Consider the following 25,625-nt stretch of genomic DNA (forward strand, 5'->3'; position numbering starts at 1 on the left):
CAGATGGTTCAAGATGTTTTTTGTTTTAACCCACAACACTGCATGTAGGTCAGGCTACTGCACTGTTCCACAACACCTGTTATTTGACATGAATCCGTTTACTTGCTTTTGTTTCTGACAAAAAAAAAAAAAAAAAAAAAAACTTGGCCCGGCGCGGTGGCTCACACCTGTAATCCCAGCACTTTGGGAGGCCGAGGCGGGCGGATCACGAGGTCAAGAGATCAAGACCATCCTGGCCAACATGGTGAAACCCCCTCTTTACTAAAAATACAAAAATTAGCCGGGGTGGGGGCTGGCGCCTGTAGTCCCAGCTCCTGGAAAGGCTGAGGCAGGAAAATTACTTGAACCAGGGAGGCGGAGGTTGCAGTGAGCCGAGATTGCTGCTACTGCACTCCAGCCTGGGCGACAGAGCGAGACTCCGTCTCAAAAACAACCAAAGCACCAAAACTTCTGGTTAATTTAATTGATTCGTCGGATTCAGATGCTGGAAAGTGGGCCTGGGATATACAGTAAGCGATCAATAATAACACTGGCCCAACACACAGCTATAAGAAGCGAGGCAAGTACACATTAACGCGGTAGCCTGAAGCCCAAGCGAAGTCTCAGCGCAATGAGCCGCGCAGAGGCTCAGAGGCGTCAGCGGCGTGCGCGGTTTCCAAGGAAACCGTCCGTCCTAGCCACCCCAGCGGCTCTGGAATGGTAGAGCAAGAGGCTCCGCCCACGCACCGCCGAGACCAATAACGGACCGGGAGGGTTACGGCGAGTGCGCAGAGGGCTCCAGCGCACTCCCGGCCCTCCTCCTTTAGCTGTGGGCGGGGCTCAGGGGCGCGTGCGTCCTGCCCTCCCTGTGCGCGCGCCGCCCCAGCATGCCCCGGGAGCGCGGGCGGCGGGCCCCTTGGTCCTCAGGCGGCCGTGGCGGCGGTGGCGGCGGTTGGGCCGAGGCAGGCGGCCTCAGTGGCCGAGGTGGCTGGACGCGTAGCAGGTGGAAGGAGGGAGGGAGCCGCAGGCGCAGACCCACCCGCCATGAAGCCCCCCGCAGGTACCGACTACCCCGCTCGCCGGACCCGGGCGTCCCCTGCACCCTCGCTCCTCCCGGGGTCGCGACTTGGGCCTAAGGCTGGAGCGAAGCGACCCCCGAGCCACCCTCGGCCGGGCTGGAGGGGCAGCGGGGGAGGTGGACGACCCTGCTCTCTCGTTTGCCGAATGAATGAACCAGCTTTTCCAGCGCTTCATTCATTCTGCAAAGTTGATGGCGCTTCCCTTCCGGATGGGTCGGGCCCCGTGGCGGACCCTGGGGAGGCCGTGATTTAACGACTCCAGTCCCGTTTTCCTGGAATTCTAGAGCCACAGACAGACATTCAAAAATTAAATAAGAGAGGATCGAAGATAGGGAGGGATCGGTGCTCTGGTGCAGATAAACACGAACGGGGCAGTCCCAGGGACACGTTTTTAGAGAGAGGGTGGTTCCTGGGGGGCTTTTCTGAAGAGGTGAGCGTCGACTTGCTTGATTGGGAGAAGCAAGTGTCCTGCCAAGACCGGGGAAGGAGGCGTCCCGGGAGGAGGGAACGTGTTTGGAGAGCAGAAAGTCAGTTTGGCTGGAACGTAACGAGGGGACCTTTTAATTTTGTTATTTATTTACTTTGTCTCCCAAGCGGGAGTGCAGTGGTGCGATCACGACTCCCTGCAGCCTCGAACTCTTGGACTCAGTCAATCCTCCCGCCTCAGCCACCTGAGTAACTGGGACTACAGGCCTGCACCACCACACTTGGCTAATTTTTTGTAGAAACGAGGTTTCGCCATGTTGCCCAGGCTGGTCTTGAAGTCCTGGGTTCAAGCAATCCACCTGCCTCGGCCTCCCAAAGTGCTGGGATTACAGACATGAGCCACTGTACCCAGCCAAGACCCTTTTAATTTAGAGGCAAAGGGGCGATGTGACCTGTGTACTGTTTATTTATTTATTTGTTGGTTTATTTTTTGAGACAGTCTGTGTCTCCCAGGCTGGGGTGTAGTGGTGCAATCTCTGCTCACACAGGCTCACCGCAACCTCCGCCTCCCGGGTTCAAGCTATGCTGCTTCAGCCTCCCAAGCAGCTGGGATTTCAGGCGCCCACCACCACACCTGGCTAATTTTTTTTTTTTTTTGGAGATAGAGTCTTGGTCCGTCACCCAGGCTGGAGTGCAGTGGCGCGATCTCGGCTCACTGCAAGCTCCGCCTCCCAGGTTCACGCCATTCTCCTGCCTCAGCCTCCTGAGTAGCTGGGACTACAGGCGCCTGCCACCACGCCCAGCTAATTTTTTTTGTATTTTTAGTAGAGACGGTGCTAGCCAGGATGATCTCCATCTCCTGACCTCGTGATCCACCCGCCTCGGCCTCCCAAAGTGCTGGGATTACAGGCGTGAGTCACCACGCCCGTCACACCTGGCTAATTTTTGTATTATTAGTAGAGATGGGGTTTCACCATCTTGGCCAGGGTGGTCTCGAACTTCTGACCTCAAGTGATCCGTCTGCTTCGACCTCCGAAAGTGCTGGGATTACAGGCATGAGCCACCGTGCCCGGCCTGGGTTTTAGAAGGTCACTCAGGTTGTTGAAGCAACTCCTTGCCTGATCCTTGGCTTTTCTCTTGCCCAGCCACACTCCCCCAGCTCTTTGTCCAGCCCATTGCGATGAGGGTGATAATTGTAATAATGATAGTCAGGGATATTCAGGCCTTGGGAAGGAAGGAATGTTGTCTGCCTTGTTTGCTACTGGATCCTTGGCACAATCAGTAAATATTTACAGGATGAACTGACGTCCACAAGTTTTTCAAATCCTAACTCCTGCAGGAGAATTTTCTGACAGTTCCAGTTCCCATCCATCTCCATCCTTTCTGAGCCCCTGAAGCTCTTCTTTACCCCACGGTTTAATGTAGATCCACAGTCCCTTTTTTGCAGTTCTAAAATCCTAAATACTCTGTAAACTGAAAGGTTTGCCTTAAGTTTACAGCAAAGTCATTTGGCCAGAAAATGACCTCAACTGACCGACTGAGAGCCTTTCTTTTTCCCACTTAGCGAATATCATTGATTCTCAGCTGGGGTGATTGTGCTACCTCTGGGGACACTGGACGGTGTCTGGGGACATTTGTGGTTGTCACAGTTGGGGGGCGCTCCTGGTATGGAATGGATGGAGGCCGGGGACGCTGCTCAGCACCCTGCAGTGCCCAGGACAGCTCCACCCCAGAAAACGATCCGGCCCCAATGGCCACAGTGCAGACAGAGAGACACCCTGGTGCGTATTCCTGCATCTCACTGCAGAAAGAGTAATTTGATTTCGGAGTGCTGCCTCAGCCTCCCTAGTGATTTGGAATACATGGCACTTGGACTCTATTAATACTGTTCTACAATGGGGGGAAATTCTGAATGTTAAAATGTCCCCGGCCCCAAGACTTTTTGGACAGGAGAGCATGGTCTGTAATAACAGCTACCTCTTGAAAACTTTCTGGTGGTATTCAGGATACAAGATGTTTTGCCTTCATACCTCACTGAATTCTTAGACAGTTCTTGTTCTCTGCACCCTGAATTGTTCCCGTTTTGCAGGTGGGAAGCCTGAGAGTTAATGTTTCTTGCCAGAATCCCAGAACTAGCAACTGGCAGAGGTGGGGTCCGCACCCAGGCCATCTGACTTCAGCTTCTGCGTTCTGAGCTAGCTTGTTGTGCCTGCCCCAGCCTTTGTAAAAATGCACATCTGATTGTTAGTGCCACTGTCCCATCCCCTTCCTGTCCCTTTCCAGGGCTCCACCTTGCACTCAGGATTGAAGTTCAAAGCCTTCATTGTCATCTACACCAGGAGTTGGCAAACTCCAGCCTGCCTATTTTTTTTGAGACGGAGTTTCACTCTTGTTGCCCAGGCTGGAGTGCAGTGCTACGATCTCAGCTCACTGCACCCTCCACCTCCCAGGTCCAAGCGGTTCTCCTGCCTCAGCCTCCTGAGCAGCTAGGATTACAGGTGCCTGCCACCACACCCAGCTAATTTTTGTATTTTTAGTAGAGACGGGGTTTCTCCATGCTGGCCACACTGGTCTTGAACTCCTAGCCTCAGGTGATCCACCCGCCTTGGCCTCCCAAAGTGTTGGGATTACAGGCACAAGCCACAGCATCCGGCCAAGATGGAGTCTTGCTTTGTCGCCTAGGCTAGAGTGCAGTGGTGCAATCTCAGTTCACTGCAACCTCTGGCTCCTGGGTTCAAGCGATTTTCCTGTCTCGGCCTCCAGAGTAGCTAGGATTACAAGCCCGCACCACCACACCTGGCTAATTTTTGTATTTTTAGTAGAGACGGGGTTTCACCATGTTGTCCAGGCTGGTCTCGAACTCCTGACCTCAAGTGATCCGCCTGCCTTGGCCTCCCAAAGTGCTGGGATTACAGGCGTGAGCCACCGTACCTGGCCAGGCCTGCCTATTTTTGTACACCCCTGGAACTGAAGATGATTTTTGGATGAGACAGAAACCATATGTGGCCCACAAAGCTGAAAATCCTTGGCCCTTTGCAGAACTGTTTGTTGGCCCCCTGGGTCCTCTGCAGAACTGTTTGCTGGTCCCCTGGGTCCTCTGCAGAACTGTTTGCTGGCCCCCTGGACCCTCTGCAGAACTGTTTGCTGGCCCCCTGGGCCCTGCACGGTTAGGTGTTTCCAGGTGGTTTTGCCACCTTCTCTGTGCCGAGCCGCACTGACTTCACATAGTCGCCCTTCCCGCAGCTGCTCTCGCTGCCAGGAGCCCCCGCCTGCCATTCTTGTTTTCAGGCTCCATTTACCCGTTTCTCAGAGAGGCCCTGGTGTGAGTGGCCGGGCCACATATGACTCGCCCGTAGCACCTGTGGGTCTGGCACGACCACACGCCAGGCTGACTTTCTTGTTGAGTTCATGAATGGAGGCCTGCTTGTTCCCCCCACTGGGTGTGGGGTGTGGAAGAAGCAGACAGAAGAAGGGACTCCTCCCGAAAACCCCCCGATACCTCACCTTTCCCCTCTGGCATGGCAGGAGTTGAGCAGTGCGTGGGTGGTCCTGGACTTCCCCTTTTGTGAACACCCAGGGGTTTGTACAGGCTGATCTGTGCATGGTGTCTCCACTCTAGGGCAGGGGGATTTTTTTTTTTTCTCTTTGAGATGGAGTCTCGTTCTGTCGCCCAGGCTGGAGTGCAGTGGCGCGATCTTGGCTCACTGCAACCTCCACCTCCCGGGTTCAAGCAATTCTCCTGCCTCAGCCTCCTGAGTAGCTGGGATTACAGGCATGCGTGCCACCACGCCCAGCTAATTTTTGTATTTTTGGTACAGATGGGGTTTCACCATATTGTTCAGGCTGGTCTCAAACTCCTGACCTCGTGATCTGCCTGTCTCGGCCTCCCAAAGTGCTGGGATTACAGGCGTGAGCCACCAAGCCTGGCCGGGCAGGGGGATTTTTAACAGCAGTATCATCTCTATTCCGGGCTGATCGTTCTCTGCTGGGGCCGTCCTGGTCACTGCAGGGTACTAAGCAGGATCCCTGGCCTCCACCCACTCCACGCCAGGAGCATCTGCAACCGCGACAGCCACATGTGTCCTAGATGTCACCCAGGGTTCCCTGGATGGGATTGATGGCAGAGTAGCCTCCTGCTCTAGAGGACTGGTCAGTCTGTGCTTCCCTACAAGAGCCCTGGACCTCACTCTTCTGGATGAGAAGCGGGTGATCCCTTCCTTTCCCTCTGCCCTCCTGACTTTGACCCTAACTGAACCGAAAGCAGACCCGCCCGGCACTGGGTTTTGTTTCTGCGTAGCCTGTGCAGGAGACATGGCGGACGCAGCATCTCCGTGCTCTGTGGTAAACGACCTGCGGTGGGACCTGAGTGCCCAGCAGATAGAGGAGCGCACCAGGGAGCTCATCGAGCAGACCAAGCGCGTGTATGACCAGGTTGGCACCCAGGAGTTTGAGGACGTGTCCTACGAGAGCACGCTCAAGGCGCTGGCCGATGTGGAGGTCACCTACACAGGTAAGTCCCAGGCAGGGTCTGTGCGTGGGCCGCAGGTGCCGAGGGAGGTGGCACCGCAGGCGGGAGTAGCCCAGCCCGTGGAGCCGGTTCAGAACCTGGCTTGAAGTGTCACCAGCACCCTGCCCCTGAGCACAGGGCAGCGCCACCTGCTCCCAGGCTGGTCGTGGTGGCTAAATCAGATGGCTGGGCGGAAGCGTCTGGCAGGTGCTGGTCACTAGAGGTGTAGGAGAGAGGCAGTTCCTCCCGTGCTCCGCTCTGCTTCACAGCCTCGTCCATTCAAAGGACTCCCTGGTTGTGTGATCTGAGAGCCGGAGATGAGAAAATATGTCTAAACAGCACGCCTCTCCAGCCTCTCCCAGAGCCAGCAGCCTTGAACCCTGACCCCGTCTGGCCTCTTTCCCTGGCCCGGGAAGGCGGGTATTTGTTTCTCTCTGAATGACTGAACTTGGCCCCCTTGGCTTCTGCCTCTGCGCCCTCCGGCGGGGGTGACCTCATGTCCTCGGGCGTCCTCCTCACCCTCAGCCCGATCCTCCTCCTCTCCTTGGGGTCCCTGTGCTCACGGTGAGGAGTGAGGTGCCTAGTGACAGGGGTTAGGGACACTGCTTCCCGAGCTCTGCCTAAGGCTGACAGTGTACCTGCCTGACCAAGAGACCCAGAGAGTCTCCGCAGAGAGCTCTGAGTGAGGCAACTCCCCACCCTTCCATCTAGCGGAAGGCCTTTTTGCTGGGAACCATCGAGAATCCTTGAGTTCAAGCCCAGGGCTTCTCTCGTGTTCCAAGGCATCCCCTGAAAGGGTTGGCCTCCGTGGCCCATGCCATGAGGCCTCCAGAGGGTTTGTTGTCTGGGCCAGGGGCTGGAGGGAGGGCTGAAGCTCCGCAAGCACCCCAAGCCTGCAGGTCCCGCAGCCCCTGATTGGAATCCTGACCCTCTTCCCACTCCCTCTGGCTTCCGACAAGTGGCTTAGAGCCCGTATGACCTCGGTTTCCCCTCCTCGGCCACGTGGTGGCCCCTTGTCCCTCCCGTAGGAGTCTCATGAGGCTCAGGTGATACCAGTTCCCTCTTATGGCGCCCAGCGGTGCCAGGCATCATTTCCCCCGCCCGTGCCCCACCTTCCCCTCCTGCGGCCTTTCCTCTCCTCCTTCACATGGTGGCGAGACTAGCATTAAAGGAAACTGAATTCGGCCCCAGTGCTCCCCTCGGGGCCTTTCCGCTTCCCTCAGGGTGACGCCCAGCATCCTCGGTGTGGTCTTCAGCGCCCTGCACCGTCTGTGCCTGGACACCCAGTCTCCTCGTGCCTGGCACCCTCCCCCAGCCAGGGCCTCTCCAGCCGGCCCCTCGCGCCCCTCGCCCTGTGCTCTGCTGAATGCCTGGCTTCTCTCTGATCACAGATTAAGTCCACTTCGCCCAGGAGCCCTTCCTCCTCCTCCTGTCCCCATGCCAGCTGCCTGGATTAGTCCCTGCACGGTACTGACACTGTCGTCCCTGCGGTCACTTGTCTAATCGGTCGCCCGTAAATCCCGAGAGGACAGAGCTGATTTTCTTTCTGTCTTCAGCCCTAGCGTCAGGCCTGGCCCAGAGCCCCCACTACAGGCTTTTTTGTTGTTTTTTTGAGACAGGGTCTTGCTCTGTCACCCAGGCTGCTGTAGTGCAGTAGTGTGATCATGGCTCACTGCAGCCTCCATCTCCCAGGCTCAAGCCATCTTTAATTTTTGGTAGAGATGAGGTCTTGCTATATTGCCCAGGCTGGTCTAGAACTCCTGAGCTCAAGCTTCCTGCCTGCCTTGGCCTCCAAAAGTGTGGGGATTACAGGCATGAGCCACCGTGCCCAGCCCACCCCCCCTCTAAACACACGGAGCCTCCTCCAGACGTGCGGAGCCTCCTCCAAACATACCGAGGCCTGGGGACATTTCTGTTGACCCAGAACTGAGGTAGTGGCCAGACTGCAATTTGAATTCAGGTCTTTCTGCTGCAAAGTATATGCTTTTTTTTAAAAAAAATTATTATTATTAGGGTTTTTTTTTGTTTGTTTTTTGTTTTTTTAGAATGAGTCTCGCTCTGTCACCCAGGTTGGAGTGCATGGTGCTGTCATGGCTCACTGCAGCCTCAACCTCCCAGGCTCAAGCGATCCTCCTGCCTCAGCCTTCTAAGTAGCTGAGAGCACAAGTGTGTGCCACCGTGCCTGGCTAATTTGTTTTTTTAAACTGCTCCATTGAGATATGATTTGCATAACATACAGTTCACCCATTTAAACCACACACTTCAGGCTGGGTGGCGGCTCACACCTGTCATCCCAGCACTTTGGGAGGCCGAGGTGGGCGGATGACTTGAGGTCAGGAGTTCGAGACCAGCCTGACCAACATCCAGAAACCCTGTCTCTACTAAAAATACAAAATTATCCGGGCGTGGTGGCGCATGCCTGTAATTTCAACTACTCGGGAGACTGAGGCAGGAGAATCACTTGAACCCGGGAGGCGGAGGTGGCGGTGAGCCGAGATCACACCATTGCACTCCAGCCTGGGCAACAGCAGCGAAACTCTGTCTCAAACAAACAAACAAAAAAAAACCCACACACTTCAGTGGTTTTTAATAAATTTGCAGCATTGCTCAGCTGTTACCATTCTTTCATTTTAGAGCATTTTCATAACCCCAGAGAGAAATTTTATACCCTTAAGTGGTCACGCTCCATCTCCCCTGTCCCCAGCCCTGGCACCCACGCGTCCCCTCCTGTCTCTGTGGATGGGCCTGTCCTGGATATTTCGTAGAAATGGCACCACATGGCCGGGTGCAGTGGCTCATGCCTGTAATCCCTGCACATTGGGAGGCCGAGGCAGATGGATCATGAGGTCAGGAGTTCAAGACCAGCCTGGCCAACATAGTGAAACCCCATCTCTACTAAAAATACAAAAATTACCTGGGCGTGGTGGTGGGTACCTGTAATCCCAGCTACTCGGGAGGCCGAGGCAGGAGAATCGCTTGAACCCAGGAGTTGAAGGTTGCAGTGAGCCGAGACTGCACCACTGCACTCCAGCTTGGGCAACAGAGTGACACTTCGTCTCAAAAAAAAACAAATGGCATCACACACTGTGTGACTTTTGTGTCTGGCTTCTTTCTCTGCATGTGACATCATCGGGCTGCATCCACACCGCAGCCTGTTCCAGAGCCTCATTCCTTTTCATGGCTGAGTCGTGTTCCACTGGGCAGAGGCCACATCTTGTCAGTCCATTCACTCGTGGATGGACCTTTTGTCAATTGTGAATCGCGCTGCTGTGAGTGCACGTGTGCAGATTCCTGTGTGGATGTGTGTTCATGTCTCCTGGCTGGATCCTGGCACTGGAGTCTTGGGGGTCATGGGATGACTCCATTTTAAAGCTTTTTTTTTTTTCTTTTTTTTTCTTTTTTGAGATGGAGCCTCACTCTGTCGCCCAGGCTGGAGTGCAGTGGTACCATTTCAACTCGCTGCAACCTCCACCTCCCGGGTTCAAGCTATTCCCCTACCTCAGCCTCCCAAGTAGTTGGAATTACAGGCACGCGCCACCACGCCTGGCTAATTTTTGTATTTTTAGTAGAGATGGGGTTTCACCTTGTTGGCCAGGCTGGTCTCGGACTCCTGACCTCAAGTGATCTGCCTGCCTCGGCCTCCCAAAGGGCTGGGATTACAGGCTTGGCCACCACACCTGGCCTAAAGCTTATGCTTTTCTAGCCACTGACACTTCCTCTACTCAACCTAAAGCACAGATGTGCTCAGGAAATTGTAAGTAGTTTATGCATTTAAATGTGACCATCGGCAGCTGCAGCTCTCTCTGGAATGGAATTCCGTCAGCCTCTGTTTCGTCGTACCCAGCTCTGTTGGGTCCTCCTTGGCTTGGAGGGCTTTGAGTTGAATCCTTATTTTTCTTCGGTCTGTAAGATCTCCAAGGACACAGGCAACAGCACCTCCTTTCTCCATCCCAGGGCCCAGCCTGGAGGGGACGGTGGCGTGTGCCTCTAGTCCCAGCTACTTGGGAGGCTGAGGCAGGAGAGAGTTCACGGGGGGATTCAGCAGACAGGCCTGGGAGAGGGGTCCGGGCAACACCTGCCAGTTGTACTGGGGCCTGTTCTCACACCTGTCTCCCTGGTCTCCCCTGTTTTAGTTCAGAGGAATATCCTTGACTTCCCCCAGCATGTTTCCCCCTCCAAGGACATCCGGACAGCCAGCACAGAGGCCGACAAGAAGCTCTCTGAGTTCGACGTGGAGATGAGCATGAGGGAGGACGTGTACCAGAGGATCGTGTGGCTCCAGGTGAGGGGGCCCTGCGGGGAGTGCAAATAGCCTCCCAAGTAACTAGGATTACAGGCGCCCGCCACCACACCCGGCTAATTTTTGTATTTTTAGTAGAGACGGGGTTTCAACGTGTTGGTCAGGCTAGTCTCGAACTCCTGACCTCAAGTGATCCGCCCACCTCGGCCTCCCACAGTGCTGGGATGACAGGTGTGAGCCACTGTGCCCGGCCCATTTTTTGTATTTTTAGTAGGCACAGGGTTTTGCCATGTTGGTCAGGCTGTTCTCAAACTCCTGACCTCAGGTGATCCGCCCGCCTTGGCCTCCCAAAGTGCTGGGATCACAGGCCTGAGCCACCACGCCCGGCCACACATGTGCACTTTCATTTCCTTTCCTGGCCATCCTAGTGTGACCCAAACACCCCATCCCCACATGGCGTGAGCTGGCAGGGCCTGGCGGCATGGCTGCGTGGGCTCCTGCTCCCCCGGATGCTCCTCGCAGTATGCAGTGGGGCCTTTGCTGTTGATGTCACATGATCAGGAGAGACCCAGAGACCCTCCTGCTGCTGTTCATCCTCTTAGGCGAGGACCCCTGGGAATGTGCTGATGTGTCCCACAGTCTCAGGATCATGCAGCCCTAGTGCTTTGGTAAATCCAGATCAGGGTGACCCATGATAGCCGTGGATTGTTATTTCTTTTTATTTAAATACAGACAGGGTCTCACAACGTTGCCCACGCTTGTCTCGAACTCCTGGGCCCACGCAATCCTCCCACCTCCACTTTCCAGAGTTTCTGTTGAGACAATGAGAGGTTCCCATGCAGGTGCAGGAAAGAATCGAATGCCTTTGCCAACTTTGCCCAGGTCCCCAGTGATGACGTTTTGCAAAACTATGGTGTCATCTACACCCCGATACCGACCTGGAGACCACCAGCAATCTAATTCCCATTCAGCCATCGCACTGGTGAAGGAGCTCTGGACTGATGTCAGTGTGGGGCTCTTCCAAACAAAGCGAACGTTTGCACAGGTTTTATGTAGAGACAGGTCGTCATTTCTCTGAGATAAATGCCCAGGAGTGCAGTTGCCAAGTCACACGGGGGCCGGATGATCAGGTTTTTAAGAAACTGCCAAACTGCTCTTTGGAGCGGCTGCACTGGCCCACGTCCTACATGCTTTGATGTTTTTATTCCAGGAGAAAGTTCAGAAGGACTCACTGAGGCCCGAGGCTGCGCGGTACCTGGAGCGGCTAATCAAGCTGGGCCGGAGAAATGGGCTTCACCTCCCCAGAGAGACTCAGGAAGTGAGTGCTGGGTGTAGGGAGTGCTGGGCGTGGGCAATGGTCGATCCCGGGGAGTGCTGGGCACAGGGAGTGCTCAGTCCCAGGGAGTGGTGGGAGCAAGAAGCGCAGGGCAGGGGGAGTGCTGGGCTCGGGGAGTGCTCGGCTCAGGGAGTGCTTGGGGCATCAGGAGTGCTGGGTTCAGGGAGTGCTGCGTCCCGGGGAGTGCTGGACTCAGGGAGTGCTTGGGCACAGGGAGTGCTGGGTGCCGGGAGTGCTGGGTGTGAGGAGTGCTCGGTCCCAGGGAGCACTGGGCATGGGGAGTACTGAGCTCAGGGAGTGCTTGGGCTTGGGGAGTGCTGGGTGGGGGGAGTGCTCGGTCCCAGGGAGTACTGGGTGTGGGGAGTGCTCAGTCTGGGGAGTACTCGGCATGGGGAGTACTGGGCACGGGGAGTGCTCAGTCCTGGGGAGTGCTCAGTTGCGGGGAGTGCTGGGCTCAGGGAGTACTGGGTGCGGGGAGTGCTGGGCGTGGCCAGTGGAGCTTCTGTGGCCCCCTGCCCCTGCCTCCTCGGGAGCGTCCCCCCTTCAGGGCTGACCCCCGGCCTGATGTCCATCTTTCTTCTGCCTGAGGACCTGAACTCTGGCAAGGCAGGTCCACACAGACATGGGGCGCAGAGGCTCGGTAACGAGGGGAGCCCCTCCACCCACTGCCCGGTGTGCCTGATGTGGGCGTCTCAGGGGTGACATGAGTTAGTTGGTGCAGAGCTGGGAGCGCAGCGCTGAAGTCAAGCGTAGTGTGTTAGCAGAAGCCCAGTGTTCAGCGGCACCAACAGAGCAGTGGCGACCGCCACTGGAAAGATGCGTGTCACAGTTCCCAGGAACTGGCAGCTCGCCACATGGGAAGCATGGCTGGGTCAGGAGGTGTGCTCTGGGCAGGGCCTTCGCTGGGGTCCCTTGTGAAGGCATGGGTGTAGCGGGGAGTGGGCTCAGGGTTGGCCGGCTGGACCATCTCAGCCAGCCCTGGCATGGGGGCTGCCCCTCATCGGGTGCCTGGCCCTAGGGTAATGGGGGCCGGTGGATGGTGCCCCAGAGTGTAGGGGCTCGAGACTAGTTGATTTGCACGTGAAAGATGTTTGCAGGCGAGCTGTTGGCTGTCTCTGGGAGGGGCCATTTCTCGAGGGCCAGCAAGGCACCCAAATGTCAAAGCATCAGAATACAGGCCCCTGATTCACCATGGTGTGTGTTCAGTAGAAACCGTGCTTGGAATGCTGATCTTTCCGAGGCCGGCCACTTGGGCACTTGCTGTCCTGTGACGCTGGGCGCCAGCCACAGCTACCAGCTAGCCTGCAATGACGCAGGCAAACTGAAAACCGAAGTTACATGAGATACCCAACACCTCATATCCGATAGCCTTTGCCTTCGGCGATCTCACCAGAATGTGGGCTGCTGTGAGTTCCTGAGCACGCTTAAGACAGGCCAGGTTAAGCTGTGATGTTCGCTCCTATTAAATGCATTTGTGATTTATGATATTCACAACTCACGATGGGATTATTGGGACATACCCCTGTCCTAAGTCAGGGAGCATCTGTACAGGAAAGAAAGCACACAGTTCAATCAGGTCCCAGGCTGCAGCCATAGCCCCATGGCTGTCCCTGTTCCGGTTCCATAAAGCCACCGCTGTCCTGGTTAGGGGGCGTCTCCACCTTATGGCTGAGGCAACCAAGACTCAGAGAGGCCAGGTGGGTTTGTCAGTGAAACCAGCACTGACGAAAGCGGAGTCAGGGTCCGTCTCAGTACTCGGGGACTGGGGGTCCTCAGCTCAGCCGCAGCGGACAAGAGCCAGTTATTTTTATTTTTATTTATGCATTTATTTATTTATTTAGACAGGGAGTCACACTCTGTCTCCCAGGCTGGAGTGCAACGGTGTGATCTCAGCTCGCTGCAACCTCTGCCTCCTATGTTCAAGCGATTCTCCTGCCTCAGCCTCTGGAGTAGCTGGGATTACGGGCACCCGCCAACACAGCTGGCTAATTTTTTTTTATTTTTGATAGAGACAGGGTTTTACCACATTGGCCAGGCTGGTCTCAAACTCCTAACCTCAAGTGATTCACCCGCCTTGGCCTCCCAAACTGCTGGGATTACGGGTGTGAGCCACTGTACCACAGTTATTTTTAAAACCCCTTCGGCTTGTTGCATGCCCAGCATGTGTGGCCATGTGCATGGTAGAAGCCACAAACTCTCCCACAAGGGCCAGCAAGCAAGGAGGGAGCAGAGGCAGCCCCGCCTGGAGGACAGAAGCGCGGAAAAGGTGCGAGGTCCGGATGCTGGCGAGCAGAGTTCCAGCGCGTCCCCGCGGCCCTTAGGGCCAGCGCTGTGTGCTCATTGAGTCTCCAGAGCCTTCCCTGGCATGGCTGGGTTTGTTATGTGAGATGGCAAGAGGGGGAGACATTGGGAATTGCCCAGCATGGGGCCTGTTCCCAGGAGAGGCCCAGCAAACCCTCAGCTGGTTCTGAACCAGGGCCTTCCTGACAAGATACAGGCTCCCTGCAAAGTCCTGGGCACAGTTTCCCCCTGCTGCCGCCCTCTGTCCTGCGGATGAGCATTTCTGCTCTGGCCCCATGGAGCTGGGCTCCAGACCCGCCTGGCGGAGCTTCCAGCAGGAGAATCTGAGTCAAAGTACAGCCCTGCTGCCAGCCTGTCATGTGTCATGTGGCCTCAAGCCAGGTCCTTGTCACATAGTGGTCACCTCCCAGCCTTCAAGGCCACCAGAGGGACCACTCAAGATTCAGTTCCTTTGTTGATATCCCATATCACCAGGGTCGAGTTTTAGCTGTTTCTAAAACCAGCTTTACCAGATAAGGGGTAAAATGTTCAAAAGCTGCCAGACACGGTGACTCATGCCTGTAATCCCAGCACTTTGGGAGGCTGAGGTGGGAGGATTGCTTGAGCCCAGGAGTTCGAAACCAGCCTGAGCAACATGGTGAAACCCCGTCTGTACCAAACATACAAAAATTAGCTGGGTGTAGTGGCGTGTACCTGTAGTCCTAGCTACTCAGGAGGCTAAGGCAGGAGGATCAATTGAGTTGGGAGGTTGAGGCTGCAGTGAGTCGAGATCATGCCACTGCATTCCAGCCTGGGCAACAGAGCGAGTCCCTGTCTCAGAAGAATGTTGAAAAGCTTAGGCTGCAGGCTCTGAAGGTGATTCCTTAATGGATAGGAGGGTCTGGAGCACTCTTGGCCAGGGCCACACCTGACAGACCGGAGCACATCCCTGAGGTTGCCCGAGGTCACCCAGCTTTGGATGCCGCAGCTGGTGTTGAAATCCACACTGCGCAGCCTCGTGGCCTCCGTGTCTGTCTGTCCTCCGCCTCCCGTCTCACTCTTTCCTCCTCGGTTGCCTCTTCTTTCGGCCTGGTTCTTGGGGAAATCCCTCAGCCCTCGGCGAGAGGGTTCCCAGGCGTTGCGTCTCCCCGCGGAGCCCGCCCCGGTCTCTCCCTCCCCTCACGCCCCGCCTTTCTCTCCAGAACATCAAACGCATCAAGAAGAAGCTGAGCCTTCTGTGCATCGACTTCAACAAGAACCTGAACGAGGACACGACCTTCCTGCCCTTCACGCTCCAGGAGCTAGGTAGGGGCCGAGCAGTGGGGCACGGGTGGCCATCGGTCCTGGGACTCAGTGCAGGCCTGCCAGGCCCTCGGGGGCCGCCGCTTCCTCCTGTGGGCTTCTGTGCTGAAGGGCGGCGGGAGGCCGAAGTACGTGGACCTGACCGCCCTGGGCTGAGGACTTTCCTCACCGGAAGCGCTCCAGGGCCGTTTACAGCCAAAAGCTCTGAGCCCTCCTTGGGGAGGGCCATGGTCTGTCCCACCAAGATTCCACCCTGATAGAAAATGTCCCTGGCAGTGGCGGAAGCCCAGGCCGGACGGGGTGGCCAAGGGTGCCAGTCTCAGCCATGGCCCTGAGGGAACCACAATTTTCCCTTGAGACCCCACTTCCTGCCTGCCTTTATTTATTTAATTTAATTAATTAATTAATTTATTTTGAGATGGAGTCTTGCTCTGTTGCCCAGGCTGGAGTGCAGTGGTGCGACCTCCACTCACTGCAACCTCCGTCCCCCGGGTTCAAGTGATTCTCCTGTCTCAGCCTCCTGAGTAGCTGGGACTACAGACGTATGCCATCACACCTGGCAAATTTTTTTATTTTTAGTAGAGACGGTTTCGCCGTGTTGGCCAGGGTGGTCTCAGACTCCTGGGCTCAGGATCTGCCTGCCTCAACCTCCCAAAGTTCTGGGATTACAGGCATGAGCCACCGTGCCCAGGCAGGCCGGAATATTCTGATGGGTGCTATAGAATATAACCTCCAGTTCTAGACTCTGAATGTAGTTGCCTCTGAGGTGGTGGGTGGGGACAAGGCCCTCATGGCCGGAGGCCTCCGCAGGTGGCTTGATGTGTGGTCACCTGGGCGTATGTTTCCTGAGGGAACACTCGCAGGTCGGGCACTGCCAAGCTTGGCTGCCAGCCACTTGCTCAGCCCTCCCGTGTCTCGGGCAGCACATCCTACCCTCAGCTTCTGGCACTCAGGAGAGACGACGGGCTACAATCTGCCGTAAAGCACGTTTCCCAGCCTGCCCCTCAGTGGGTGCACTGATCACCCGCACCATTCCCGCAGCCACCCACGCCATCCCGCGGCCACCCGCACCGTCCCCGCGGCCACCCGCACCATCCCCGTGGGGCTGCTTCTCCTGCCTGCTCGTGTTAGCAAGCAGAAGGACTCGGTGCCTGATGTTCTAGAAGCCAATGCCATGGCACCAAGGATTTGAGGAAACAAAAGCTTCTCATTGCAAGTGACTCCCAAGGAGACTGGGCGTCCAGCTCAAATCTGCCTCCTGTGCCAGCTTTCAGGCAGTACTTTCATGAGAGAAGGTGCAGAGGTGGATTCTGGGATTAGCAGGTGATTGTTGGAAGGAAAGGGGAGGTCTGGAAGGTCCTTGGGCACGCACAGTTATCTGTCCGTGCCAGCTCGTGGGTCCTGGGTGTGAATCCTGGGGAAGTCTGTATGAAGCGCGGTGGAAGTTCAGTTGGCATCAGCCAGCTGGTTCTGCACAGACTCTGCTGGCTCATGTGGGTTCCAGCCGGTTTCAGCCAGTTTTGTTCTTGTCGGCGTTTCAGCTGCCTGTTTCTTTTCACGTTTGCCATCCTGCAAACTCGAATGTTTGTGGATTTTGGTGTCTAACTCTTTGGGGTGCCGTTCCATTTGTCGGGCCTGAGGGGTCTCCCGTGCAGGTGGCTTGAGTCCCATGTGGCCAGGTGACACCGTCATGCGGGTGGCTAGCGTGTTGGGTGACAGTCTCCAGGGCTGTCCGCTGCTGCTGCCCCGGGACCTGTTTCCCTTTGTGGTCCGTCATTTCTCAGGAGACGCCTTGCGATGGTCTTAGTTCCTTTTCTTCTGCTTACAACAGAAAACCTAAGGCCATGTAGTTTATAAGAAAAGGAATTAACTTGTCACAGCTCTGGAGGCTGAGAAGTCCCAGGTCGAGGGGCCATATCTGGCCAGGGCCTTCTTCCTGGTGGGGACTCTGGAGCCCTGAGGCGGCCAGGGTGTCACATGGCAAGGGGAGGGGGCTAAGCGAGCCGGTTCCACCCAGGTCTCTCCTCCTCACAAAGCCCCAGGCCCTCTGCCACATTAACCCATCTGTCCCTTCATCCATGAATCCATGAATGGATTCATCCATTCCTGAAGGCAGAGGCCACATGACCCAGCTGCCTCTTGAAGGCCCCAGTACCTAATCCTGCCATCTCCCAATACCACCATCTCCAACACCGCCATCTCCCGATACCCACATCTCCCAATACCCACATCTCCCGATACCGCTACCTCTCAATACCGCCACCTCCCAACACTGCCATCTCCCGATACCCACATCTCCCAATACTGCTACCTCTCAATACCACCACCTCCAACACCACCATCTCCAACACTGCCACCTCCAACACCACCATCTCCAACACCGCCACCTCCAACACCGCCGTCTCCCGATACCTCCACCTCCGGACACCCCCACCTCCTGACCCACCCACCTCCCAACACCAACACCTCCCGACACACCCACCTCCCGACACCCCCACCTCCCAATACCAACACCTCCCGACACCCCCACTTCCCGACACCCCCACCTCCCGACACCAACACCTCCCAACACCAACACTTCCCCACACCCCCACCTCCCAACACTAACACCTCCTGACACCCCCACCTCCCGACACCCCCACCTCCCAACACCAACACCTCCCGACACCCCCACCTCCCGACACCAACACCTCCCGACACCAACACCTCCCGACACCAACACCTCACGACACCCACACCTCCCGACACCAACACCTCCCGACACCAACACCTTCCGACACCCCCACCTCCCGACACCGCCACCTCCCGATACCCGCATCTCCCGACACCACCATCTCTGGCATTAAGTTCCTGGTGCATTTTGGAGGGGACGCACCCAACCAGAGCAGAGACCTGTGAGTGTCCATCACTCGCACATTGTCATACACTAGTTGCCATGTCCATGGATGACTTCTGCCGCCCTCACCCTCTGGGCATCAGTCATCCTGCCGTGACTCCGAACCTTCCCTCCTTGCCTGTCTTCTTACTGATTTGTTTCTGTCCGTGTGCATGAGGCTTCTGTCTTATTCCCGGGTTATCATTCATTATCATTTATCCCAGTGCTCAAATCGTCCCACATGGACCCTCAGGAGTCCCTCCGAACAATCCCTGTGTCCTTGTAATGCACCTGCTGTCCTCTGAACCTGCTCTTACTGTGGGGCACATGGTACCGCAGGCTCGGCCTCTGAGCCCGCGCTTACTGTGGGGCGCGCGGTACCGCAGGCTCGGCCTCTGAGCCCACTCTTACTGTTGGACATGTGATGTCGCAGGCTCGTCCCATGCTCTCCCTGCCCCAGCCCTCAGATGCTCCATTTCTTGGAGGAGACCTGGCGCCTTTGAGTGGAGGGTGACTTAGGCACCGGATGTGTTCACCACTGCCAGGGAGCAGCATTCCTGGGCACCGTTAACAGTTAGGAAGCAGACACGCATCTCTGCACCACACATGGACACACACACTCTTCTATTCTGTGTCTGTATATCAAATCCACAAGTGCAGCGGGGCATGCCGGCACACACCTGAGGTCCCAGCCACTCGGGAGGCTGAGGCAGGGGGATTGCTTGAGTCTGGGAGTTCAGGGCCACAGTGAACGTGAACTATGCATTCGTGAACTATCCATTGCAGCCTGGGCAACAGAGCAAGACCCTTTTTCTAAAAAAATAAAAACTTCCAGGAGTCCACTTTGCAGCTTCTCTTCCAGTCCAGCGCTGCTGGGCCCCCCAGCTGTCTCCCTTGCTGTCCTTTAACTCCCGTCTCCGACCGCCAGCCGTCACTCCTGGGTGACACACTGTCGAGATGGAGAGCTGCTGTTTGAAGGCCCGTGGTCCTTGGAAAGGACGATGTGCAGGTCCCGGGAGGCCTCCCCCTCATGCTGCAGTCACTCGGCAGACAATTGCCAGGCCCACGCTGGTGCTGGGGTACAAACGGGAAGGCGGGGGCTCTGCCGGCCACAGGACTCTCAGCTCCCTCATCACCACCCACACCCACGGGCTGGCCTCCCAAAATTTCCCCCATCTGCCTCTGGCCCCCCAACCGGATCATTCTTTCCACCCTTGCCTCCCTGGGGTCCCCGTGAGCTCCCGATCATTCTTTCCACCCCTACTGCCCTGGGGTCGGGGTGAGCTCCCAATCATTCTTTCCACCCTGACCGCCCTGGGGTCGGCGTGAGCTCCCGATCGTTCTTTCTACCCCTACTGCTCTGGGGTCCGTGTGAGCTCCGGATCATTCTTTCCACCCTGACTCCCCTGGGGTCGGAGTGAGCTCCCGATCATTCTTTCCACTCTGACCGCCCTGGGGTTGAGGTGAACCAGTCTTTGCATTGAAGCTGCAAGCCTGAGGCACGGTGGCCCTGGCGTCTCCCGAGCCATGAGGTAGGAACCCCAGAGGGTTTCAGTCCGGGATGCTGCCGCCCCCACTTCTCTTGAGGCTGTCGGGCAGGGGCCAGGTGGGAGGGTGTGGCTGCCGGGCAGCGGGGTGAACTGTGTCCTGCCAGGGGTTTTGTGGGTGGAGAAGGGACAGCAGGGCTCCAGTGAGAAGCTCTGGGAGTAGGAATTGGGTCTCTCTGGAGGGACACACTTGAAAGTGGTTGAGCCGTGGGGCTGCGTGCTGAGATCTCAGCTCTGAGCGGGAGGCTCTGCCTGGGGGTGGTTCTTCAGGAAAAGCAAAGCAGGACCTCCCTCTCCACGTGGGGCCTCCCTCTCCGCCCAGGGCCCAGCGTGCTCAGCTCTCCTGCTGTTTTTGTCTTTGATGGGAGGCACTGCCTCTAACGCTGGTTTCCTTGTGCAGTGGCCGGGCCACCCTTCCCGCCACCCTCCTCCCTTCACACATGAGGTTGGTGACGGCGCCCTGGAAGCCCACGATGTCCGGGGGTTGGGCTGGATTTAGCTTTAACCTCTCTGGGGCAGGAGATCCTGCTCTGAGGATGCTGGGGGGTTTCCTGGTGGGGTTAGAGGCGGGACGTGAGAAACGTGGCAGGTGGTGGCCAGGCTGTGGGGGAGCCAGGGTATTTCTTGATGGGGTTAGATGGGGGATGTAAGAATTGCAGCGGGTGGTGGCCAGGCTGCAGCTGCTCGCTGAGGGCCCCCTTGTAGCTTTCCAGGCAGAGGGGAAGCCCACCCCTTCCCTCACACGCTGTGTGCAGGCTGTGGGCCCATCAGTCCTGTCAAAGCCACCCTGGTTCTGTCCCCATAGGAGGGCTCCCCGAGGACTTTCTGAACTCCCTGGAGAAGATGGAGGACGGCAAGTTGAAGGTCACCCTCAAGTACCCCCATTACTTCCCCCTCCTGAAGAAATGCCACGTGCCTGAGACCAGGAGGAAAGTGGAGGAGGCCTTCAACTGCCGGTGCAAGGAGGTGAGAAGGCACGGCCAGGGGGCCCCAGAACAGTGGGTCTGGAGCTTGTGGGGCCCGTCTGCTCCATGTGTGTGAGGCACCTCCAGGCTTTGCACTTGGATGGCCTCCCAATCTCCCTGGCCAGGCCCAGTGGCCAGCAGAGGCCTCCCTGTGGGGCTCTGCCGTGCCCTGGAGGTGTCTGTGCTGGGCTCCACCCAGACCCTGGGGCCACAGCTCAGGGCCCAGTTCATCCTTCCCAAGCTGAGCCTCCTGCTGCTGCTCTGAGCATCTGGCCGCGCACACGTCTCGTCCCTCCCTTATCTGGAGCCGCCCCTCAGGTGTGTCAGCCCAGATCATTCCTTTTGTCTTAAATGATGGTGCCCGGACCTGAGCCTGGGTCCACAGGTGGGTTGTGACTGGGCTATCTCGCTGTGACTGGCGTCAGACGGCCGTTCCCACAGGGACACATGTAACTGTCCACGGCGCCATGGTGTGGTCGGTCAGGTGGTCTCTGCACGTCTCCCATTCGCCATCTGGAACAGGCAGAGGCTCTAGGAGTGGGCCTCTTGGTCCCCTGACGACACCAAGTTGGTGCTTGTGCGGCTGGCAAAAGGGGGATACACGCTGATCACTGCAAAGGGATGGGCGGGCACTGATCACTGCAAGGGGACGGGCGGGTGCCCATCACTGCGGGGGGACGGGCGGGTGCCCATCACTGCGGGGGGACGGGCGGGTGCCCATCACTGCGGGGGGACGGGCGGGTGCCCATCACTGCGGGGGGACGGGCGGGTGCCCATCACTGCGGGGGGATGGGCGGGTGCCCATCACTGCGGGGGGTGGGGGACGGGTGGGTACCAATGGGGGTACAGGTGGGCACCGATCACTGCAAGGCAGGGGGGTGCTCCTCGCTGTTCAGGGACCGGGAACTCAGTCTGCTCAGATGGGGCGTGGCCTGCCCTCTACATGTTGGCTATGAATTCATGTTGCTGTTAAGCCTAAGTAGGTGGACCCGTGGACTGGGCACACCTCGACTTCCCCACTGCGCCTTAGAAGGTCAACTGGGCAATCCCGTCCTGGTCCCCAGGCTTGGGTCCTAGTGGCAGAGTGAGGGCCAGGCCAAGAGGGCGCACACGGGTGGGCTGAGTTCCAGGTCCCGGGGGATGTGCCGCCTCAGAGACCTTGCTGCTGGCGGTCGGCCTGGCCCCTATTTGGCTGGCTGCTCTGCACGCACCTGCTGGTTACAGCTGGGTTTCCTGTGGACCCAGCTGGTGGGCACATCTGTCCTGAACAGGCCTCTGTTTCTCCTCGTAAACGCCTCACGTGGCTTTCATGCGTCCTCCCCCACCCCCACTGGCTTGGTTGGCAGTGCCAGTCCTCAGAAGTGAGGCTGTGTGCATGTCATTTGCTGGTGGCGATAGGCAGAGCCCGTGAGACTGGGAACCAAGGCCTGGACATGGAGGTGTCCCCACATGCAGCAGTGATGCCCTCGGAGGCTCCTCGGACAGCCCCTGGTCCCCATACCACGTTCCGTGTGAGGCCTTAGAGTCATCTGCACCCCTTCTGGTTCCAAAAAGGCCTTGGGATTATGATAACGCTGGTGGCATGACCAGAGGAGTTGTGTAGTAACACAGGCCGAGAGGGGCAGGGACCGGAGGTCAGACGGAGCTGGATATGAGCCTTTGGCCCTGGGACAGGGCGTGCTGGCCCTGGAGGTGGAGGGAGTGGCGCCCCTGGGTGACAGTGTGGTGGTGTCGGTTGCAGGAGAACTGCGCTATCCTCAAGGAGCTGGTGACGCTGCGGGCCCAGAAGTCCCGCCTGCTGGGGTTCCACACGCACGCCGACTATGTCCTGGAGATGAACATGGCCAAGACCAGCCAGACCGTGGCCACCTTCCTAGGTAGCCCTTCCTTCCTCCTCCACTGGGGTCCCTGTGGGGAAGGTTCTCAGGGTCACCCCAGGGGACAGTCGGTGCTACCCCTAGAGCCTTGTCCTTTCCCTCCATGAAGAGGGACTTCTGACGCCTGCCCTGGCTCCCTCACTCCCCCCGAGGGACCCTTACAGAACAGGGAAGCGCCCGGGCCCTGGGGTCAGTCCCATGCTTGCACCCGGCCCCGCCGCCCCCTCACCCTGAGCGTGAGGATGCTCGGCCCCTCGAGGGGTTGCCGGGAACTGCGGGTCCTCCCTTCCAAATGGGGAGCCTGACGAAGTCGCGGCCGCGGGCGGGCGAGCCCAGAGCCATGGAGGAGCCCGCGAGGCGAGAGGCCCACCTTTCTGCCCTCCCCGCAGATGAGCTGGCGCAGAAGCTGAAGCCCCTGGGGGAGCAGGAGCGTGCGGTGATTCTGGAGCTGAAGCGTGCGGAGTGCGAGCGCCGGGGCCTGCCCTTCGACGGCCGCATCCGTGCCTGGGACATGCGCTACTACATGAACCAGGTGGAGGAGACGCGCTACTGCGTGGACCAGAACCTGCTCAAGGAGTACTTCCCCGTGCAGGTGGTCACGCACGGGCTGCTGGGCATCTACCAGGAGCTCCTGGGGCTGGCCTTCCACCACGAGGAGGGCGCCAGTGCCTGGCATGAGGACGTGCGGCTCTACACCGCGAGGGACGCGGCCTCGGGGGAGGTGGTCGGCAAGTTCTACCTGGACCTGTACCCGCGGTGGGTGAGGGCAGCGGGGGCGGGGGGCGCACCCCGGCCCTGGGTCTCCTCGGAGCCCGGTGTGCCCGTCTGAGATGGGAAGGAAGTCGTTGCCTGCTCCATGGGGCCTCGGGGATGAACCCCGAGACGTAGCACCCGTGGGCACACCACAGGGGCCGAAAATGCAGCTGTCCCCGTTTCCAGTCTCACTCAGCCACCCCGACAGGGCGCAGCTCTGCCCAGGCCGGAGTCCTTTAGGGGAGGGATGGCAGCCGGGGCCTGGCCGTGGTTTTCATGCTGCCCTGCGCCAAGCCACCTCTGCTGAGAGGGAGGTTTAGAACCTCAGAGGTGCCCGGCGGTCTGGGTTAGCAGTCAGGTGGGCTGAGGGATGCGGAGTCAGGGACTCTTGCGGTGTCTCTAGTCCCTGCGGGGCCTGACGCTGCCTCCCTCCCCAGGGAAGGAAAGTACGGGCACGCGGCCTGCTTTGGCCTGCAGCCCGGCTGCCTGCGGCAGGATGGGAGCCGCCAGATCGCCATCGCGGCCATGGTGGCCAACTTCACCAAGCCCACAGCCGACGCGCCCTCGCTGCTGCAGCATGACGAGGTGGAGACCTACTTCCATGAGTTTGGCCACGTGATGCACCAGCTCTGCTCCCAGGTGGGTGCGGGCCCGGGCAGGGGCAGGGGCAGGGGCAGGGGCAGGGGCTGCCTGTGGTCAGCGAGGCCCAAGCCTGGGGCTTCGGCTTCCGGCTCTCTCTGCACCCGTCCGGTGGCTCCTTCATCCAATGCCACCCAAAGATGGTGACTCCCTGTCATGCCCGTGTCCTGGGGCTGCCCCAGCAAAACACCACAGACCAGGGCTTACACAAGGTGCGTGTATTTCCTCATGGTCCTAGAGGCTGGAGTCGGAGGTCACAGTGTCAGCAGGGTTGGCTCCCTCGAGGTCCCTCCTTGGCTTGTGGCCGCCACCACCTCCCCGCATCCTCATGTGGTCGTCCTTCTGTGTGGGTCCCCATCTCGTCTTCTTACAGGGACCCCAGTCATGCCGGATCAGGGCCCGCCCAACAACCTCACTTGACCGTAGTGACCTCCTTAGACATCCTGTCTCTAAGTAGTCACATCCTGGCCAGGCGTGGTGGTCCACGCCTGTAATCCCAGCACTTTGGGAGGCCGAGGTGGGTAGATCACCTGAGGTCAGGAGCTCAAGACCAGCCTGGCCAACATGGTGCCATCTTGTTGCAAGCATCTGTCCTAGCACACAGTCAGCAATCGCTCCTCAGAAAGGCTCTGTCCTATGAAGTCACTGAGAACCCTGAGAAGTGCATGCAGACCTGTCCCTCCAAGGGGACCCTGGTCACGTGTTCGCCAACTGATCATTCCAGAACCTTACTGTGTGTGTTTTGGGTTCAAGACACCTTACTGCTGTACAGCGCTGACGGGTTCACGTTGAACACATGGCTGGTGGCTCTGTCACCCACACCTGAGCACAGCTTGCACACACAGGGTGTCCCCATGAGGCACATCATGGCCTCCTGGTGCTGAAGGAGACGAGACAGTGCTCTGCACAACGCTTGGGGCCTTTTAAACACAAAATCACCAAGAGCAGAAAGATGCAAACACCGTGCCCCCACTAGACTGAGAAAAGGACGCTTGCTCATAAAATGAGCCGAAGTGAGAAGACAGAGTGCGGCCCTTCTGAGGACCGTCTGCTCAGGGGCGCCGCAGTGCTGGCCTCTGGGGTTTTTGTGGATCTTAGTAGGCGAGTTTGAAAACACGGAGTCCAGGAATGAGGATCGACCGTGTGTCCACCTTTCCTGGCTTCCCTGCCACACTGTTTGCACAGCACTCGTAGCCAGCACACGCGTGTGCACATCCACACAGGTGCTCACACAGGTGCCCACGCACGTGCCTGCAGGCCTGCTTTGCATGCTGCTTTCTGCGTGTCCCTGGCGCCTGGCACGGCGAGTCCCTTGGTGCATTCCGTCGGGACAAGGAGTGTGGCTGCGTGGTCCTTGGAACAGAAAAGCCTCGGTGTTGCAGAGAGGACCTTGAGGATCACCCAGGAGTTCCCTCGCCGTTGGCTGCCTGCCATGGTTCCAGCGGGACTCAGTCAAGGGCTGTGCTTTTAGGGAAGGTTCCACACACACACGAGCAGGGAGATGCAGCATGCCTCACAGCGTCCCCACCCGGACCTGGCCGTCCCCAGGTCCCAACCCCTCGGGGTGCGGAGCTTTCAGGGAGCAGCAGCTCTGTGGCTAGAGGAGAAGCGTGGGTGGCCTCCAGGGACGGGGTCATGTGGCCGGCATCTTCAGGTGTGTCCTGCTGCCACCGGCAGCCAGCAGCAGCCCAGGGGCCTCCGGGTCCCGGTCGTTTTCCAGTTTTGGGGTGGGAGGGCCGGGCCCAGCGCATCACCTGTGCACTCGCCCTGTTTGCACTGTGGCAGCTGACACGGGCCAGGCCGGCGGGAACGGGCTAGGC

The 25,625-nt window shown here is 58.1% G+C and overlaps 1 protein-coding gene across 3 annotated transcripts in view, besides 6 other annotated features; it reads left to right on the forward strand.

Annotated features, from left to right (window-relative positions):
• Positions 551–660: a silencer, noted in NCBI's record as "silent region_9809". NCBI's record gives its function as "represses an Ori minimal core promoter by ATAC-STARR-seq in GM12878 lymphoblastoid cells {active_cell/tissue: GM12878}" and the evidence as "EXISTENCE:reporter gene assay evidence [ECO:0000049][PMID:35858748]".
• Positions 691–1,150: a silencer, noted in NCBI's record as "silent region_9810". NCBI's record gives its function as "represses an Ori minimal core promoter by ATAC-STARR-seq in GM12878 lymphoblastoid cells {active_cell/tissue: GM12878}" and the evidence as "EXISTENCE:reporter gene assay evidence [ECO:0000049][PMID:35858748]".
• THOP1 (thimet oligopeptidase 1) overlaps positions 864–25,625 on the forward strand; it is a 30,305-nt gene continuing 5,543 nt past the window's right edge. Inside the window, exons 1-9 of one of the 3 annotated variants that reach the window (NM_003249.5) lie at positions 864–1,039; positions 5,782–5,994; positions 10,125–10,273; positions 11,442–11,549; positions 15,050–15,152; positions 20,377–20,537; positions 22,278–22,413; positions 22,803–23,169; positions 23,604–23,805. In NM_003249.5, coding sequence (NP_003240.1) covers positions 1,024–1,039; positions 5,782–5,994; positions 10,125–10,273; positions 11,442–11,549; positions 15,050–15,152; positions 20,377–20,537; positions 22,278–22,413; positions 22,803–23,169; positions 23,604–23,805 — 1,455 coding nt within the window. In that variant the 5' untranslated portion in view covers positions 864–1,023. Of the gene's footprint in view, positions 1,040–5,781; positions 5,995–10,124; positions 10,274–11,441; positions 11,550–15,049; positions 15,153–17,391; positions 19,557–19,971; positions 20,017–20,376; positions 20,538–22,277; positions 22,414–22,802; positions 23,170–23,603; positions 23,806–25,625 lie in introns of those variants that run through there. The other 2 variants (XM_047439299.1, XM_011528228.3) reach the window with 2 other exon arrangements.
• Positions 2,128–2,654: an enhancer, noted in NCBI's record as "H3K4me1 hESC enhancer chr19:2786765-2787291 (GRCh37/hg19 assembly coordinates)". NCBI's record gives its function as "activates a minimal SCP1, AML or CMV promoter by ChIP-STARR-seq in naive H9 embryonic stem cells {active_cell/tissue: H9 hESC(naive)}" and the evidence as "EXISTENCE:reporter gene assay evidence [ECO:0000049][PMID:30033119]".
• Positions 2,655–3,181: an enhancer, noted in NCBI's record as "H3K4me1 hESC enhancer chr19:2787292-2787818 (GRCh37/hg19 assembly coordinates)". NCBI's record gives its function as "activates a minimal SCP1, AML or CMV promoter by ChIP-STARR-seq in primed H9 embryonic stem cells {active_cell/tissue: H9 hESC(primed)}" and the evidence as "EXISTENCE:reporter gene assay evidence [ECO:0000049][PMID:30033119]".
• Positions 4,834–5,123: an enhancer, noted in NCBI's record as "active region_13720". NCBI's record gives its function as "activates an Ori minimal core promoter by ATAC-STARR-seq in GM12878 lymphoblastoid cells {active_cell/tissue: GM12878}" and the evidence as "EXISTENCE:reporter gene assay evidence [ECO:0000049][PMID:35858748]".
• Positions 11,385–11,885: an enhancer, noted in NCBI's record as "H3K4me1 hESC enhancer chr19:2796022-2796522 (GRCh37/hg19 assembly coordinates)". NCBI's record gives its function as "activates a minimal SCP1, AML or CMV promoter by ChIP-STARR-seq in primed H9 embryonic stem cells {active_cell/tissue: H9 hESC(primed)}" and the evidence as "EXISTENCE:reporter gene assay evidence [ECO:0000049][PMID:30033119]".

Source organism: Homo sapiens, chromosome 19 (genome assembly GCF_000001405.40).
Source record: "Homo sapiens chromosome 19, GRCh38.p14 Primary Assembly".
Lineage (NCBI taxonomy): Eukaryota > Metazoa > Chordata > Mammalia > Primates > Hominidae > Homo > Homo sapiens.